The sequence below is a fragment of the Homo sapiens genome, chromosome 12 (genome assembly GCF_000001405.40).
Source record: "Homo sapiens chromosome 12, GRCh38.p14 Primary Assembly".
Lineage (NCBI taxonomy): Eukaryota > Metazoa > Chordata > Mammalia > Primates > Hominidae > Homo > Homo sapiens.
Window position 1 is genome coordinate 126,011,921 of NC_000012.12, and position 18,640 is coordinate 126,030,560.

General features: G+C 40.2%; 2 long non-coding RNA genes across 2 annotated transcripts in view; one reads left to right on the forward strand and one right to left on the reverse strand.

Annotated features, from left to right (window-relative positions):
* Positions 1-18,640, forward strand: part of LINC02826 (long intergenic non-protein coding RNA 2826) — a 59,958-nt gene that overhangs the window by 28,398 nt on the left and 12,920 nt on the right. The window contains exon 5 of the long non-coding RNA NR_183612.1: positions 16,294-16,400. This is a non-coding gene — a long non-coding RNA (long intergenic non-protein coding RNA 2826). The remainder of the gene's footprint in view (positions 1-16,293; positions 16,401-18,640) is intronic.
* Positions 2,465-18,620, reverse strand: LOC105370056 (uncharacterized). The gene is made up of 3 exons (XR_001749370.2): positions 18,546-18,620; positions 4,757-4,971; positions 2,465-4,301 (listed from the first exon to the last, which is right to left on the reverse strand). It is a non-coding gene; the product is annotated as an uncharacterized LOC105370056 (long non-coding RNA).

Below are 18,640 nucleotides of genomic sequence, written 5' to 3' on the forward strand. Positions count from 1 at the left end.
AGAAGGAGGAGGAGGAGGAGGAGGAAGAGGACGAGGAGGAGGAGGAGGAAGAGGAGGACAAGGAGGAGAAGAAGAAGAAGAAGAAGAAGCAGAAGAAGAAGAAGAAGAAGAAGAAGAAGAAGAAGAAGAAGAAGAAGAAGAAGAAGAAGAAGAAGAAGAAGAAACACTGAAAAATGAGGAGTTAGCATAAAAATTTCCAAAATACTAAAAAATAGGTACAAGCAAAAGACAGCTTTGTAACTTTTGGGTGACTCACTATAACTCATTCCCTAATGTTTTGTAGTTTAAACAAACTATCTAACTATTAAATGTAAATGTACTATATTTGTTTGTTTGTTTTGAGACAGAATCTTGCTCTGTTGCCCAGGCTGGAATGCAGTAGCATGATCTCAGCTCACTGCAAACTCGGCCTCCTGGATTCAAGCAATTCTCCTGCCTCAGCCTTCCGAGTAGCTGGGATTACAGGCGACCACCACCACTCCCAGCTAATTTTTGTATTTTTAGTAGAGATAGGGTTTTACCATGTTGGCCAAGCTGGTCTAGAACTCCTGGCCTCAAGTCATCCACCCACCTCAGCCTCACAAAGTGCTGGGATTACAGGTGTGAGCCAACATGCCCGGTCTGTAAGTATACTATTAAATGTTTGTAATTTAAACAAACTACCCAACTATCAAATGCTGAATCTCTATAGAACTGCATGTCCATAGTGGAAAGTGTGAGTTGCCTTCCCGCAACCTATCACTCTTGTCTTTCTTCCTAACTGAAGGTAACCCCTCTTTCTGACCCCATCCACGTGCCTCTGGGGACCTGACCCCTCAATCTGGCACCAGCATGAGTTTGATTTGTACCAAGGTAATCCCATTTCCTCATCCAGCTCCCAACTCTGATTAATAAGGTGGGAGGGGAATTCTGCTATGGAATTCCAGGAAAATGTTCCTTTCTCCCGAGGGACAGCCGAGAAAGAAGGAAACAGTTCTGTGAATATTTCCGTAACTCTATGGAGCTCCTGGAACTTCTGCCACCCTCTTGCTACCAACCTGTAGAGGAAACCATCACGAACTTCAACAGAGAAACTGAGAACCTCAGCCCCTGTTGTCGTGGTTCAGCCACTGAGTCAACACACTCGGGGACCCACTTGGTGTGTAGTCTTCCTAATGGACATAATGAACCTCTTTTGAATAAGCATGTTGAGACTGCATTTGCTGTAGCTGAAAGCAGTTAATGACAAACACCTTTGTCAATGGTGTGTTGCTGCTATATTTTACATATCCTTATTGCAACACTTATCACCTTGTATTTGAGAAATTGTTTTTTCTCTCCAGGACACTGTGAATTTTTTTAGGGTAGGAGTAGTACTTTATTCTCCTGTTAAGTCCAGAATCAGGAACAATGATTGGCACACAGCAAGAGTTTATAAATTCTTGTTGAATTAGATTCCTTGGATAATTTTCAGTATTCTTGTAGATAACTCAATCAACTTGGATATTTCTCACCATTGACTTAAGAAAGCAGAGCAGACACTGTGCTGGGGACTTTGAGCAATGCAGAGGAATGGAGAATGCCCCCCAAGAACTTAGAAGAGATGGACATTTGCATTATTCTCTGTAATGACTGCACAGTGTGGTGAGTATTGTACTTTGCTATTGGGTATCAATCACAATTGCAATTGGATAACCATAATAGCATACATAGAGAATTATTTTTCTTATATCAATAAATGTAGAGATTTTTTGGCTTTACTTTAGCAGCTCCTCAGTATAATCTAGGTGAATGCCTTTTCAATTTTATGGACATTTTCCTCATAGTTGCAAATGGCTGCTGAAGTTCCAGCAATCACATTCCCATCCCCCCCCCAAAAAAAAGAATAAGAAGAATGTAAAAGGAGTAATGACAGTCATGTCTTGCCCTTTATTAGGACAGCAAAACCATTTCCAGAACTACCACCCTTCCATAAACTTATGACAGTGTCTCATGGGCCAGAATGGGATCAACTGGCCACCCCAGGTGCAAGGGAGAATGTGGTGATGGAAAAAAATTAAGCTAGGCATAAAATGTTCAGAAGAAAATATGGGTTCTGTAAAGCCAATAAGAAAGTAGACAAGGAATGTTAGAGAGGCAGTTTAGAGAATCTGCTATATTAGATGTACAATGTGCTGTAAAGCCTTTGTAAAGGAAGAAAGAATTAATTTCATTGGGCACAATCATGTGACAGGGAAACCTTAATCTGGCCTACAGAGTGGATTTCATGACTTTGCTGTGTGAGTTGTTGGTGTAGACCTTGCACAGGCATACCTTGGAGATATTGTGGGCTTGGTTCCAGACCACCACAATCAACTGAATATTGCAATAAAGCAAGTTACACAAATGTATTTGGTTTCTCAGTGCATTTAAAACTTGTCTTCACACTATATTCTAGTCTATGAAGTGTGCAATAGCATTATGTCGAAAAAACAATAACTATACCTTAATTTTAAAAATCCCTTTATTGCTAAAAGAATGCTAATGCTCATCTGAGCCTTCAGCCAATCATAGTATTTTTGCTGATGGAGGGTCTTGCCTAGATGTTGATGGTGGTTGACTGATCAGGGTGGTGGCTGTGGCAATTTTGTGGAATAAGACCACAGTGAAGTTTGCCACGTAGACCAACTCTTCTTTACACAAAAAATTTCTCTGTAGCATGCATGGTGTTTGATAGCATTTTACCCACAGTAGGACTTATTTCAGAATTGGAGTCAATCCTGTAAAACCCTGCAGCTACTTTATCAATTCACTTTATATAATATTGTAAATTATTTGTTGTGACTTCATCAATGTTCATAGCATCTTCCCCAGGAGTAGATTCCAACTCAGAAACCATTTTCTTTGTTCACCCGTAAGATGCAATTTTTCTCATCTGTTACAGTTTTAACATGAAATTTAAGCAATTCAGTCATATCTTCAGGCTCCACTCTTAATTCTAGTTCTCTTGCTATCTCTACCACATCTGCAGTTACTTCCTTTACTGAAGTATTGAATCCCTCAAAGTCATGCATGAGAGTTGGAATCATCTTCTTCCAAATTCTTGTTAGTGTTGATATTTGGTCCTCCTGTGAATCATAGATGTTCTTAATGACATCTTGAAAGGTGCATGCTTTCTGGAGGCTTTCAATTTACTTTACCCAGATCCATCAAAAGAATCACCATCTAAGCCACCTATATCCTTACAAAATGTATTTCTTAAATAATAAAACTTTAAAACCAGAATTACTCTTTGATCCATGGGCTGTGGAATGGATGTTGTATTAGCAGGCATGAAAACTACATTAATTTCCTTGTACATCTCCATCAGAGCTCTTGGGTGACCAGGTGCGTTGTCAATGAGCAGTAATATGAAAGGAATCTTTTTGTTCCTGAGCAGTAGGTCTCAACAACAGGCCTAAAACACTCAGTAAGCATGCTGTAAACACATGTCCTGTCACCTAGCCTTTGTTGTTTCATTTATAGAATACAGGCAGAGTCGATTGAACATAATTCTTAAGGGCCCTAGGATTTTCAGAATGGAGTATTGGCTTCAACATAAAGTCACCAGCTGCATTAGCTCCCAACAGAAGCATCAGCCTGTACTTTGAAGCTTCGAAGCCAGGCATTGACTTCTCTCTAGTTATGAAGGTCCTAGAAGACATCTTCTTACAATAGCAGGCTGTTTTGTCTACATTGAAAATCTGTTGTTTAATGTAGCCTTCATCAATGGTCTTAGCTAGATCTTCTGGATAACTTGCTTGAGCTTCTCCATCAGCACTTGCTGCTTCACCTTGCACCTTTAAGTTCTGGAGATGGCTTCTTTCCTTAAACCTCATAAATTAACCTCTGCTAGCTTCCAACTTTTCTTTTGTAACTTCCTCATTTCTCTCAGCCTTCATAGAATTAAAGAGAGTCAGAACTTTGCCCTGTGTTAGGCTTCAGTTTAAGGGAATGTTGTAGCTGGTTTGTTCTTCTATCCAGACCACTAAAACTTTCCCCATATCACCAAGGAGACTGTTTTGCTTTCTTATCATTCGTGTGTTCACTGGAGTATCACTTTTAATGTCCTTCAAACAGTTTTTGTTTGGTTTTACAACTTGGGTAAGTGTTTGGCATAAGAGGTCTAGATTTAAGCCTATTTTGGCTTTCAACATGCTTTCCTCACTAAGCTTAATCTTTTCTAGCTTCTGATTAAAAGTGAGAGACATCCAACTCTTCTTTCACTTGAACACAGGCAGGCTGTTGTTGGGTTATTAACCGGCCTAATTTCAGGATTGGTTTTTCTCAGGGAATAGAGAGACCTGAGGAGAGGAGGAGAGACAGGGACATGTCTGCTTGGTGAGGCAGTCAGAACATATACATTTATCAATTAAATTGATCATCTTGTGTGGGTGCCATTTGTGGCATCCCAAAACAATTTCAATAGTAACATCACCGATCCCAGTTCACCATAATGGATATAATAATAATGAAAACGTTTGAAATATTGTGAGAGTTACCAAAAGGTGACACAGAGTTTGAAGCGAGCACACGCTGTTGGGAAAAATGACACTTGTAGAACTGCTTGAGGCAGGATTGCCACAACCTTCAATTTGTAAAAAATGCATATTTGGGAATATGCACAATATCCCATCTCACAACATCTCACAATAAAGTGAGATGCACTAACATGTGGTGTACCTGGATTATTTTCCTATTGCTGCTGTAAGAAATTTCTGCAAACTTAGTGGCTTAAAACTTAACTTTATTAACTTACAATTCTGAAAGGCAGAAGAAGTGTTGCACAGAGCTCATTGGCCTAAAGCTCAGGTGTCTGCTGGACTGTGTTTCTTTCTGGACATTATAGGGGATAATCCATTTTCTTGGGGTTTCCAGCTTGTAGTGAGAGAGGCAGGAGGCAGCCAAATGCCTAGGCAGATAGGGGCAGGTCCTTGGTGAAACCCCATCTCCAAGCCAAAGACAGTGTAAGGCCTAAAAACCAAGCCACAAGTTAAATCATCAGACCAGATTGAGAACTCATCTTCTTATTTGGTGAACTTTCCTCGGATTGATCCCCACCCTTTACCTATTTTACATATACCTACACTTTCCTAATTGGTTTTCTACACTGTTCTGCCCACTTTTGAATGGTGTCTTTGCTTTAACCTTTTTTGCACACTCACAAACCAATCAGCACAAACTCTCCATTCTGAGTCCTTAAAAGGCCCCAGATGCAGCCACATGGGGCACTTTCCTGCCTTTGGGTGGGGGAACCACCCCTCTCATTCCATATCCACCGAAAATTTTCCTTTTGCTTAATAAATTATACTCCACTTACTCTCTGGTGTCAATGAGCCTAAATTTTCCTGGTCGTGAGACAAGAACTTGGACCTAGCTGAGCTAAGGAGAGAAAGACTGCTACACTAGCAGCTGCCTGTATTCCTTGGCTCCTGGCCCCTTCCATCTACAAAGCCAGCAACTCCTAGCTGAGTTCGTCTCATGCTGCCATCTCTCTGCCCTCTCTCTTCTGCCTCCCTTTCCACTTGTAAGTTCCCTTGTGATTACATCGGGACTGCCTGAATAATCATTTTGTTTTTGTTTTGAGATGGAGTCTCGCTCTGTCACCCAGGCTGGAGTGCAGTGGCAAGATCTTGGCTTACTGCAGCTCCACCTCCCAGGTTCAAGCGATTCTCCTGCCTCAGCCTCCTGAGTAGATGGGATCACAGGTCCCTGCCACCATGTCCAGCTAATTGTTTTGTACTTTTAGTAGAGACGGGGTTTTACCATGTTGGCCAGCCTGGTTTTGAACCCCTGACCTCAAGTGATCCACCCACCTTGGCCTCTGAAAATGCTGGATTACAGATGTGAGCCACAGCACCTGGCCTTAATCAGGATAATCCTAGGATAATCTCCCCATCCCATGGTCAGATGGTTAGCAACCTTAATTCCATCTGCAACCTTAATCCCATTTTGCCACTGAAAGTAATATAATCACAGGTTCCAGAGATTAGGACATGAAGACTTTTGGGGGACGATTGTCATTTCAATTATAGATCTCTAGGCTTTGGGGTACATGGGGTAAGGAGGGAAAGAGAAAAAAAATCACTTCACCAGGATCATTTTTCCAGAAGACTGTCATGTAGAATAAGATTGCTCTCTTCAGGGCAAACACAGAACCAAATTACTTTGTTTAAAACTGTTAGTGGCACATGAAATGTGAGCTATTTTTAAGGTGAGAAACCCCAACTAAACTAGAATTAGTTCATTTATTTCCCAAAAGACTACGACTGAGGACATAATTCACTGCTAGTAACTTGCTATGTGAAAATAAAACCAACATTACAAATAAATCAGGGGCAGCTATTTGCATTACAAAGAGCTTCACTTTAGGACTTAAATGAGTTCAACTGACTTAATTAAATATAAGTCAGCCCCTGTCAGTTGTTCCTTTGGTCCCATGTTTACTGGGCCCCAGCTCTATGCTGGGTCCTGAGGACATAAGAGTGTATGGAACTTGACTTGGCCTCTGCCCCAGTATAATGAAGGAAAAATAAGCAAACGATCTCAGAGTCAAACATGAAACTTATCTTTTTATCAGTGACAAGAGCTGCTAGGGAGCAGCACATGGTCCCCTAATAGCAGAAGAGGGAAGATTGCATCCCTTTGGGATGTCAAGGAGGCTTCTGTGGGAATGTGTCTACTAATGATAGTGACAGGAGGCAGCAAAATGCCTAGACAGACAGGGATGGATCTCGGTTGAAACCCCACCTTCAAGCCAAAAACAGAATGAAGGCCAAAAGCCCAGACTGCTGATCCCAAATGAAACCCATGACCCAGAGTGAGAACTTCTGTTCCTGTTTGCCTGCCCTTTCCCGATTGGTTCTTTCTGAATAATTCCTTTTAACTAATCGAATGTTGCCTTTTCCAATACTATCTAGGGCCGTAAAAAGCCCCAGACCCAGCTACATGGGGAGGTGAGAATCACCCAACTGCTGGGGTCGGGGACCATCCCCAACATGCCTTCTCCATTGAAAGCTGTTCCGTCACTCAATAAAATTCTTCTCTGCCCTCCTCCCTTCAATGTCCCACATATCCTCATTCTTCTTGGGTGTGGGACAAGAGCTTGGGAACCACTGAATGCAGGCACAAGCTATAACACAGGTGAGCAGGGGCATGCCAGCATGGCTGAGTGGGGCCTGGTGGGGCATCACCAGCTGGAGGTCCCTAGCTTGCAAAAGGACTGAGGAGAAATATCTTACATCACTGAGATGTCAAGAGAAGAACAAGTAGATGTTTAGGAGCTGCAGAGGGGAGAGGAGAGCACCCGCAAAAGGAGTGCAGCATGAGCAAAAGGCCTGGGGCACAGAATCTGTGTGAATACCAGGAACCCAAAGAAGGTCCCTGCGGATGGAAACACAAAGGGAGCTGGGGCAGGGAGGAGCTGAGGCTGGAGAAGTGCAAGCGCTAGACCACACTGGCCATCATGGACTCCAGTGGGTTGCACTGTCTTCGTTATAAGAGCAACAGAAAGACCCTAAAGCTGCTGAAGAGTCTAGACGACATGATCTTATTTGTGGTGAAATCACTTCAGCTAGAGTCTGTAAAGCAGTTTAGAGTGTGATTCGATGCCCAACAGAGTGCAGGCGAAAGTCAGTCATGGGACAGAAGAACTGAGAACAGCAGTCACCAGCAGGAGGTCATTTGTGGTAAGGTAGTCATGGTTATAACGGTAGCAACTGCCAACCTGTGTCAGGAGGTTCTGTTCTTCCAAGCTGTGCCCTGTGCGCTTCATACAAATTATCCCATGAATCCCTTGCAGTAACTCTACAAAGTATATATTAATATTATCTCCATTTTACAGATGAGGAAACTGATGCAGAGAGAAGCAGCTGGGCTTGCCGGCTGCCATACAGATGTACAAGCATCAGGGCCAGGTTTTACACCAGGCAGGCTGACCCCAGAATGCTTGCTGTCGACATGGGGAGTAACTGCCAAGTGGCTGTGGGCATCCCCAAATGATGTTTGCTTATTTGTTTGTTTTTGAAGGAAGGCATTGTAAATAATGTCACTGAAAAATAAATGGGCTCTGATTAGATATGTAAGTGTGTTAGTCTGTTCTCATGCTGCTAGTAGAGACATATCTGAAGCTGAGTAATTTATAAAGAAAAAGAGGTTTGAGTCCATTAAAGTCATGTCTTACATGGTGGCAGGCAAGAGAGCTTGTGCAGGGGAACTCCCATTTATAAAGCCATCAGATCTCATGAGACTTATTCACTCCCATGAGAACAGTATGGGGGAAACTGCCTCCATGATTCAATTATTTCCACCTGGCCCCACTCTTGACATGTGGGGATTATTACAATTCAAGGTGAGATTTGGGTGGGGACACAGCCAAACCACATCAGTAAGTATGAATGTTATGCACGTGTACAACTTTAGAATGAGGCATTGGATAGGAAAATGTCTGTGAGCTTCAGGTAAAGGAAGGGACAGTGGCCGGATGTCAAAGGCAAAAGGAGAGTGACCTTGTCATCATTAAGACGTGGGGTCCTTGTGTTAACAGATACTCTGATTTTTTCAAGAGATACCAGAAATCTTAAATTAGATTTGAAATCTCTTTATTTTTATGTTAGCAACTATTTCAGTTTTTAACATTGTGTAAATCAACATTGAAAGAAGCAAAGAGGCTCAGAAACAGAACTTTGAGAACCAATGTAACCTACAGACATCAGGCTAAAACCTCCAGATTTGGTCTGGGATTTGAGCTGCACTGACATGTTCCAGAGGAGTGGTCTGCATGCCGTGCCTTTGGCTTGGTGGGCCAGTGGCTTCTGGTTCTTAGTGTTTTTAGCAAACCTTTCAACTTAAGACCATAGGGACCAGCTCTCACTACTTACGACATGGACTTCACATCTGAGCCTAGAGGTGTGGAAGAATGAACTTGCATAATTGATCATAAGCCATGGCTCACAAAGCCCCTGGCGTATTAAGGGCATTATCAGCCTAAGATGGATGGATGTCTTTCCACCCACCATTAATGTCTCAGCTTTTCAAGGAATCAAAACTGCAGCTTTGAATTACAATTTTAGGAAGGAAACTAATGATAGGGAAAAAGTAAGTATAATTTTTTTCTCCCAAAAAAAGCTGGAGGCCGTGAGTCAGTAATGGTGCGTGGATAACATTCACATTTAACTAATTGGAGTTATATACGCAAACAGAGTCCATAAATAGACAAGTTGCCTTTGTATCAGACTAAGAAGTCAGGATCATTTTAATGTTTTATGTGATTACTTCTAATCCTAAACACACTCATAAAGTCTGTTTGGAAATATAAGGAAAAAAAATCAAGTTTTACTTGAAGACACAACGATTTTCTATAGGCAGAAATGAAGCAAGTCTTTCTTCACCTCCAGGTACTACCATGATCTGCCAGTTCCAAACGCTAACATGTTCAGAGAAAGAAAGGATTCTGTTTCACAGTGGAGAAACTGAGGCGAAGGTGCAGGGTCATTTTAGTGAATGAAAATCATGAATCAACACCCACAAGAAGCATTTGCATCCAGACAATGGACTTTTATTACATCTGGAGTGAGCAACACGCTTTCTCTATATGAGATCATTAAGTTCTTAGTTTTGCATGTATTTATTGGTGATGGTGCTAAGAAAAGAACAATGAACAAACAAAAAATACCCCAAAAACTGGGTCTTTGAGTGTACACTTTGCAGGGATGGACGTTAGGTCTGTTTATAATATCAGTGTCTGTCTTTAACCCAGCACAGTACTGGGCACTTAAGTTGGCTCAAACATATTTTATTGTTTTCCACCAAGGGGTTGCAAGCTTTTGCTGTAAAGGACGAACCAGGAAATATTTTAGTCTTTGTGGGTCATTCAGTCCCTGCTGCAATTATTTAATTCTGCCAGTATAGTGAAAAAGCAACCATATACAATAGTAAATGAATGGGTGTGGCTGTGTTTCAATAAAACTTTATTTACAAAATGTGACAGCCAATCAGATTTTGATTTGGGGCCTTCTTTGCTGTCCCCTGTTTTATACCGTGAAGTTTAGGATGGTTGGTTATTAGGTGACAGGAAAAAAAAAGTTACTGAGAGTGACTTGTGTTCAAAAGCTCCAAGAGTTAGGTTTCAAAATTTTCCTCTGGATTACAAATAAGGTTCAGGAATCAACAACTTTCAGTTAGAGCTTCTGAAATTAACAAATCAATGTTTTAAAATGATGTATTTACTAGTAAGTTTATAACTTACTAGTTGTGAAGTTATAAACTTCACAAGGGCATGTACCATTTCTGTACTTTTTTTTTTTTTTTTTTGAGATGGAGTTTCACTCTTGTTGCCCAGGCTGGAGTACAATGGCACAATCTTGGCTCATTGTAACCCCCACCTCCTGGGTCCAGGTGATTCTCCTGCCTCAGCTTCCCAAGTAGTTGGGATTGCAGGGGCCTGCCACCATGCCAGGCTATTTTTTTTTTTTTTTTTTTGTATTTTTAGTAGAGACAGGGTTTCATCATGTTGGCCAGACTGGTCTCGAAGTCCTGACCTCAGGTGATCCACCCACTTCGGCCTCCCAAAGTGCTGGGATTACAAGCATGAGCCACCGTGCCAACCCATTTCTGTTCTATAAACTGATGTCTATCCACATTGCTGGGCATAGAATGCTCAGGTACATAGATAGTTCTAGCACAGATGCATGTAATTTGTATTCTAATCTCAAGATTTCAGAATTTCTTTTTTCATAGATTTATTTTTCTTATTTTTCTTTTTTTAAATTATACTTTGAGTTCTGGGATATGTGTGCAGAACGTGCGGGTTTGTTACATAGGTATACATAGAATGCTCAGGTACATAGATTGTTCTAGCATGCACACATCCATGTAATGTGTATTCTAATCTCAAGATTTCAGAATTTCTTTTATTAATTTATTTTTCTTTTTTAAAAAATTATACTGTAAGTTCTGGGATACTTGTGCAGAATGTGCAGGTTTGTTACATAGGTATACATGTGCCATGGTAGTTTGCTGCACCCATCCATCCGTCATCTACATTAGGTATTTCTCTTAATGCTCTCCCTCCCCTAACCCCCACCCCCCAACAGGCCTCAGTGTGTTATGTTCCCCTCTCTCTGTCCATATGTTCTCATTGTTCAACTTCCACTTATGAGTGAGAACATGCAGTGTTTGGTTTTCTGTTCCTGTGTTGCTGAGAATGATGGTTTCCAGCTTCATCCACGTCCTTGCAAAGGACACGGACTCATTTTTTATGGCTGCATAGTATTCCATGGTGTATACGTGCCACATTTTCTTTATCCAGTCTATCATTGATGGGCATTTGGATTGGTTCCAAGTCTTTGCTATTGTGAATAGTGCTGCAATAAACATACGTGTGCATGTGTCTTTATATTATAATGATTTATAATCCTTTGGGTATATACCCAGTAATGGGATTGCTGGGTCAAATGGTATTTGTGGTTCTAGATCCTTGAGGAATTGCCAAGCTGTCTTCCATAATGTTTGAACTAATTTCCACTCCCACCAACAGTGTAAAAGCATTCCTATTTCTCCACATCCTCTCCAGCATCTGTTGTTTCCTGATTTTTTAATGATCACCATTCTACCTGGTGTGAGATGGTATCTCATTGTGGTTTTGATTTGCATTTCTCTAATGACCAGTGATTATGAGCTTTTTTTCATATGTTTGTTGGCTGCATAAATGTCTTCTTTTGAGAAATGTCTGTTCACATCCTTCTTGGTATTTTTAGAAATTGATGAGGTATAGCTAAATGATTGTGAACTTAGACCCTGAAGACTTGTGTTCTGGTGCTTCTTTTGCCAAATACCTTGAATAAATCACATCCTCTCTCTGTGCTAAAATCTCATCAGTAAAATGAAGCTGTTAGACCACATCAGTCTTTCCCAGGGCAGAAGACACACACACCTGCATCAATGCTGGGCGATTTTAGGTTTTAGGTGGCACCAGATACCTCTTTAAATAACATTAAATCACATATTTTCATTTCGATTGTCCTTCAGACCTTTTGATTACATAAAAGAGAGAGAGTATTTGCCATCAGTGAATTTGTAATATGTTTTAGAGAGAGAGCCAAACCCAGACTGAGAAGCCTCTGCAGAAAAGAATAGCTGTGATTTTGTAACATTTTATCATATTAATTTGCACAATACTTATTTCCTATAGTTACTTCCTATGATGGTAGGTACTACTGGATTTCTATTAACAGTGTAATGCAGTGTTCCTGTTTTAAGAAATAAATTAGGCTTACATCTTTAATCCCAGCACTTTGGGAGGCCGGAGCAGGAAGAACACTTGAGCCCAGGAGTTTGAAAGCAGCCTGGGCAAAATAGCGACACCCCATCTTTACAAACTGCTCTCCCCTGACACACACAAAAATTAGCTGGGCATGGTGGCTCCTGCCTGTGGTCCCAGCTACCCTGGAGGCCAAGGTGGGAGTTTGAAACCAGCCTGGTCAACATAGTGAGACCCTGTCTCTACAAAAGAAAAAGTAGGCCGGGCGTGGTGGCTCATGCCTGTTATCCCAGCATTTTGAGAGGCCAAGGTGGGTGGATCACCTGAGGTCAGGAGTTCAGGACCAGCCTGGCCAACACAGTGAAACCCTGTCTCTACTAAAAAAATACAAAAATTAGCCAAGCATGGTGGCAGGCACCATGCTACTTGGGAGGCTGAGACAGGAGAATTGCATAAACCCTGGAGGTGGAGGTTGCAGTGAGCTGAGATCACACCATTGCACTCCAGCCTGGGAGACAAGAGTGAAACTCTGTCCCCACCCCCCAAAAAAAGAAAAATTAAAAAATTAGCCATGCAGGGTGGTGCACACTGGTAGTCCCAGCTACTGCAGAGACTAAAGCAAGAAGATCACTTGAGCCCAGGAGGTCAAGGCTGCAGTGAGCCAAGATCGCACCACTGCACTCCAGCCTGGGTGACAGGGCAAGACCTTGTCTCAAAAAATAAGTAATTAAGTAAATAAATAAATAAATAACGATAAGAGAAAAAAAATAACTGGAGTAAAAGCATAAATTTCTAGACGTAAGATATTTTAAATTCCAACCCCATTATTCTATCTTTGGGCTTTTACTCCGTAGTCTTTGAAGTTAGAAATAACTTAGGGTGAATTTTATTTTTCTCATCTGTCTTCTAGAGTTCAGGTGGCTACATTCTTTGTATACAGACAAGCATTGAAAGAATCCCTTCAGAATCCAAATCTCAGCCTCAGGGGATTTGTTGGATTGTGGAGTTTGGCCCTCTCATGCCCCTAATCAGCCTCCCCATGTGAACTTTATAACTGTGAAGTAGCAGAAGTTTCCATGCAGACCCTTTCACCTGCTGTCAGTTATTGAGGAAAACCTGTCAGGGCCATCGTGTGTCACTGAGTGTCAAACAAAAGTGGAATACGGGTTAAAGGAATTTTCACTTGAGACAAGTTTGACTGCATTAGAACTGAAGAGCAGAAACTTGTAACTTAGGGAAGACACTTTTAAGATGGCGTGTTTATGAATTGTAAACTCTGCTTTAAGTCAAGTCATGGGGCCATACCCGGAAGACACAGACTAAATTACTATTCATTATCAGAAGGAAATTTAGATTACTCCTATGCATACTTAATTCCCAACATCTCACTGGCAGTAGAAGTTAGTGGGAGTGACTTGTGTTCAAAAGCTCCAAAAATTAGGTTTCAAAATTCTCCTCTGGGTTACAAACAGGGCTCGGTAATCAACAGCTTTCAGTTCAAGCTCCTGAAATTGCAAATCAATGTTCTCTACTTGCTGCTTCCATAAATAAATGTATTCTTAAAATGAACTAAATTGTTTGTAGCATGAACATAAGATAGTTTCAGGAAATTAAAGAGTAAAAATGATTAAGAATCAAAAGATAACTTTTTATTTTGCTCAAATATTAGTATTTCTTCAGAAATGAGATATATTTTATGGAAAACATGTCAATTCGCAAATAGGATAGGAAAATGTTAATCAACTCTCCCCCCTACCCTCATCTTGTGCATGTAGAATCTTTCTGAATTTTCCATTACAGGGAGAAAAATGAAAGAATCGTCTAGCTTAATTCTCTAGTACAATTTGAATTTGCCACTCACAAATATATGAGCATTTATAATCAGGAATTCACTATCTTGGCTATCTGGTGACTGGAATTTTATTTATTTAATTTAATTTAATTTAATTTAATTTTTATTTTTTTGAGACAGATTTTCACTCTTATTGCCCAGGCTGGAGTGCAATGGCATGATCTCAGCTCACTGCACCCTCCACTGCCTGGGTTCAAGTGATTCTCCTGCCTCAGCCTCCCAAGTAGCTGGGCTTACAGGCATGTGCAATCACACCCAGCTAATTTTGTATTTTTAGTAGAGATGGGGTTTCACCATGTTGGTCAGGCTGGTCTCAAACTCCTGGCCTCAGGTGATTCACCCATCTTGGCCTCCCGAAGTGATGGGGTTACAGGCATGAGCCACCGTGCCTGGCCTGAAAATTTCTAAAATTAGGAAAAAAGAAATTGAATTGTGATTTCAAATGACATCCACAAACAGTAAACTCAAATGGCAACAGGACCCAGGGAAGCCAGTGAGTAAAGTGGGCCATTTAGAAGACTCTAGAGAGTAATGGAGTGAACAAGGGAACTGACATTCTGTCTATGATGGAACATCAGGGCTAAACCAGAGGCAACTATTTCCAAGTAAAAGTGAGGGCTTAATGTTGCCAGAAACCATGTGGGGGTTATATAAGTCATATTCTTGAAACTTAGTTAACCTCAGTCCCTAAAAACCAGTGAATAATCAGAGATATCAAGGAGAAGAAGGACACAGTGAGAGTTAAATTTTAAAAAAGTGTTAGCATTCCATTTTTCAATTTGCCTCCTTTCTGAAAATTCTATCTAACAACTGGAACGAGAGGCTGACTGAAGCCTAAGAAAAAAGATAAGATAAAGGATTAGATGTTATCCATTGCTCTAAAATAATTTACCAGCACATAATGCAATTTTGTTTCAGTCATTCACCCCCATTTTATTTAAAGATTTTACTTCAGATATTCCTCCCTTCCATCCTCCAATAATCTTGAAGCCAGAAAAACTAAGTTTTATCACTAGCTTGATCACTTAGAAGTTATGTTGGGTCAGATAAGTAACTCAGATTATTTTTTAGAAATGAGAATGTTACCAATATTTGTATGATTGAATAATTTCAAATAAGAAATATAATCTCAACTCAAATCATCTTAAAAAAGGAAATTTCTCTTGCTTCATAACAGAGTCCAGCCTACAAAAGGCCACCGAGTTGATTGATTCGGAAGTTCAGTGATATTAAGGCTCTTTCCTTTTCTCTGGTCTACCATCCTGGGCATTTCCTTCAACCTCAAGTAGGTAGCAGGACTGTTGTAGTGGTATCAGGTATTACATCTAGACATGGAACAAGAGAAGTTATTTCTTTCCTATAACTTTCTATGGAACTAATTTTTTTTTCACTAAGTACTTCCCAGAAGAAAAACTTCCTTCTTTTTGGAAAATACTAAGTCATCTATCCATGTATGAACCAATCAATGCCAAGGAGATGGATTACCATCACACCCATCCATGAAGATAACCCCAAGGCTCATGGTTCTGTGCAAAAGGAGTAGATATCTGAACAAGATTTTGACTCTATTGGGAGCAAAAGAGGATGATGGTTGCTGGGAAGGTTACCAACAAAGATCACTACACTGGCCCAACTTACTGTTGACACAGTAAAGTGTCCCGCACTTGTATGCTAGGATTATTATCACAGGTTTGTGAATCTTTCCATAAGAAACACATAGTTAACCTTATGAGACCATTCAGTCTACTGCATCAGTTAAGTCTGTATTCCTGGTTTTATTAAAACTGTTGTAACTTAGCAATTCTGATTAGAGCTTAATATAGGGACATATAATGTTAAAGCTAAAGAAGACCTTGGAAAATTCTTTCTTCAAACTCTGAACTACAAAGGTCCACAGCTTCAGAAGAGAGAACAGGTTGGGTAAGAGGACAATACTTTTCTAAACAATCTTACTTCATGTAAGTCTATTGCAAAATCTACATTAGTCATTGAGAGCTTTCCCCATATGTATCTCTGGGAAACATCATAGGAATGCCCCTTATCTCTATGTTTATAGCTTGGTGTTCTGATCAATATCGAAGTATGAAAATAAAAGGCATTTTGCGTTGGTATGACATTTAAAAATATTAACTGATATTTCTTCTAAGTATTTCATTTCATCTCATGATCCTTCTTATATTTGAAGATTTGGCTTCTGACACACTCATTGCTTTGGAGAGGATGGTTAAGTCAGAAAAAAGACTTTTGAGACTCAAAATTCTGGACCCCGATTCTGCTTGGAGCCAAGATAAAGTGAGAGAAGTAATATTTACCCTCTCCCTTGAAACAGCTGGAAAGTCACACAAAATATATGAAATGATTGTTTTTAAGCTATTGAACATAAAGCAATGAACAATGATCTCTGAGATAAGGAACATGAGATGAACTCTATGATTGCTCTAGCTTAGTGTTTGCAGAGAGATTCCAGATCATAGTGCAGAGGAGAACCCAGGTAGAACTTGGGAGTCTTGAGGACATTGCAGTTAACAGTACCAGAGTATAGAGAGTTACACTGATACAGAACGCTGGAGATTTGTGGAGAAGAGACTTAGAGTAAACAGATAAGTACTAATGACTGCCTGTGTGTGAGGAGAGAATACTTATGAACTTCTTCATAAGTCCAGTATTTACCCTGATACAAGAATATTACAAGAAAAGACTATTACAAAACAAATGTCATTCACAGATGCAAACATATAGAGATAGATGAAAAAAATGTATCAAATAGAATGCTAACAATATATACCAAGGAAAAATGCATCATGACAAAGTGAAGTTCTGGGAATGCAAGGTTGGTTTAAAGTAAAAAAATCAATCAATGTGATGCAATAAATTAACAAACTGTATTAGTTTGTTTTAACATTGCTATAAAGAACTACCTGAGACTGAGTAATTTATAAAGAAAAGAGGTTTAATTGGCTCATGGTTCTTCAGGCTTTACAGGAAGCATGAGCTGCGGGAGGCCTCAGGAAACTTAGAATCACAGTGGAAAGTGAAGGGGAAGCTTGCATGTTCTATATGGCTGGAGCAGGAGGAAGAGAGTAGTGGCAGGTGCTACACACTTTTAAACAACCAGATCTCATGAGAACTCAATCATGAAATAGCACTAGGGGGATGGAGCTAAACCATTAGAAACCACCCCCATGATCCAATCACCTCCCACCAGGCCCCACCTCCAACACTGGGAATTATAATTCAACATGAGAGTTGGGTAGGGACAGAGCCAAACCATATCACAAACTAAAAGAGAAAAGACACATGATTATCTCAGTGGATGCATAGAACGTATTTGAGAAAATCCAACACCTATTCCTAATCAAAACCATCAGCAAACTAGTAACTTCCTCGACTTGATAAATGGCATCTCTGACAAGCTACAGCTAATGTCATAATAAATGATGAGAATCTGGATTGTTTCCCACTGGAAATAGGGATGAGAAAAGGATGTCCACTTTCACTACTTCTCTTTAATATTGTGCTAGGAGTTCTAGTCAGTACAGTAGGGTAAGAAAAAAAAAGATATCCAAATTGAAAACTGTCTTTACAGATACTATGATTATTTATTTAAAAATGGAACCAACAGAAAAGCTACTAGAACTAATAAGCAAGTTGAATAAGATTGCAGGATATAAGATCAATATAAAATCCAAGTGGATTTGTATATAATGGTTTCCCTTTGGAGGCTCCTTGGCTCTTATACAAATTTTTTCTAAATTATCTTCTGAAAAATTCTAAATGCAGGCATTGGGAAAAAATAGGTGTTTCCTTCTCCTTCACTTAAAAAGTAACTGAAGATATTCAAATGGTTCCTCCTACAACAAAGGAAGCCCTATATGAAAATTTAAAGTTCTATTTGAATTGAAATGAAAAAGTGTGTCCTGTCTCTTATGTAGTGGTATGGCTATATCAGCATAAGTAGGCACCTTATCCAAAAAAAAAAAACCCCATCTGGCCACTACCTCTCACAAACTGAGCCAGCTTTTATGGATCTTGTCCATAGAGTCCCATGAGGACAAGAGCAATGACTTGCCCCTGTCTCCACCCTCTGACCGTTGCGGGGTTATGGGGAGAGCAGACACTCAGTTGAAGTTTAGTGAAAGTGTATGTGAATTAAATAAGGGACTTCTGGAAAGGGAGAACTCAATGTCCTGAAAGAAGTACTTAACCTTCTGGCATGATTGTTTGTAGGGACATTAATTGCTTGCTATTGAGAGTTTCCCAACAATTTGTGTAGGGGATCAGTCAGAATGGTAGGAAAAACTGTAGAGAAAGTACACAAACCTTCTGAAAGGTTGGAAGGTTCTGCAGAGCCACAAGGGACAATGGCTGAAGGCAGCTGTTCTATAACCCTGAGGCAGAGGGCAAGGAGTAGGTACAAGGGAGTTTGGGGGAATTTACCTTAAATAAGCTTGTTTACTTATGTTGACCAGGAACTGACCTTTGATTATCTGCATGACGTTCCCTGAAAGGAGAACAATAAATGTTAATTACCC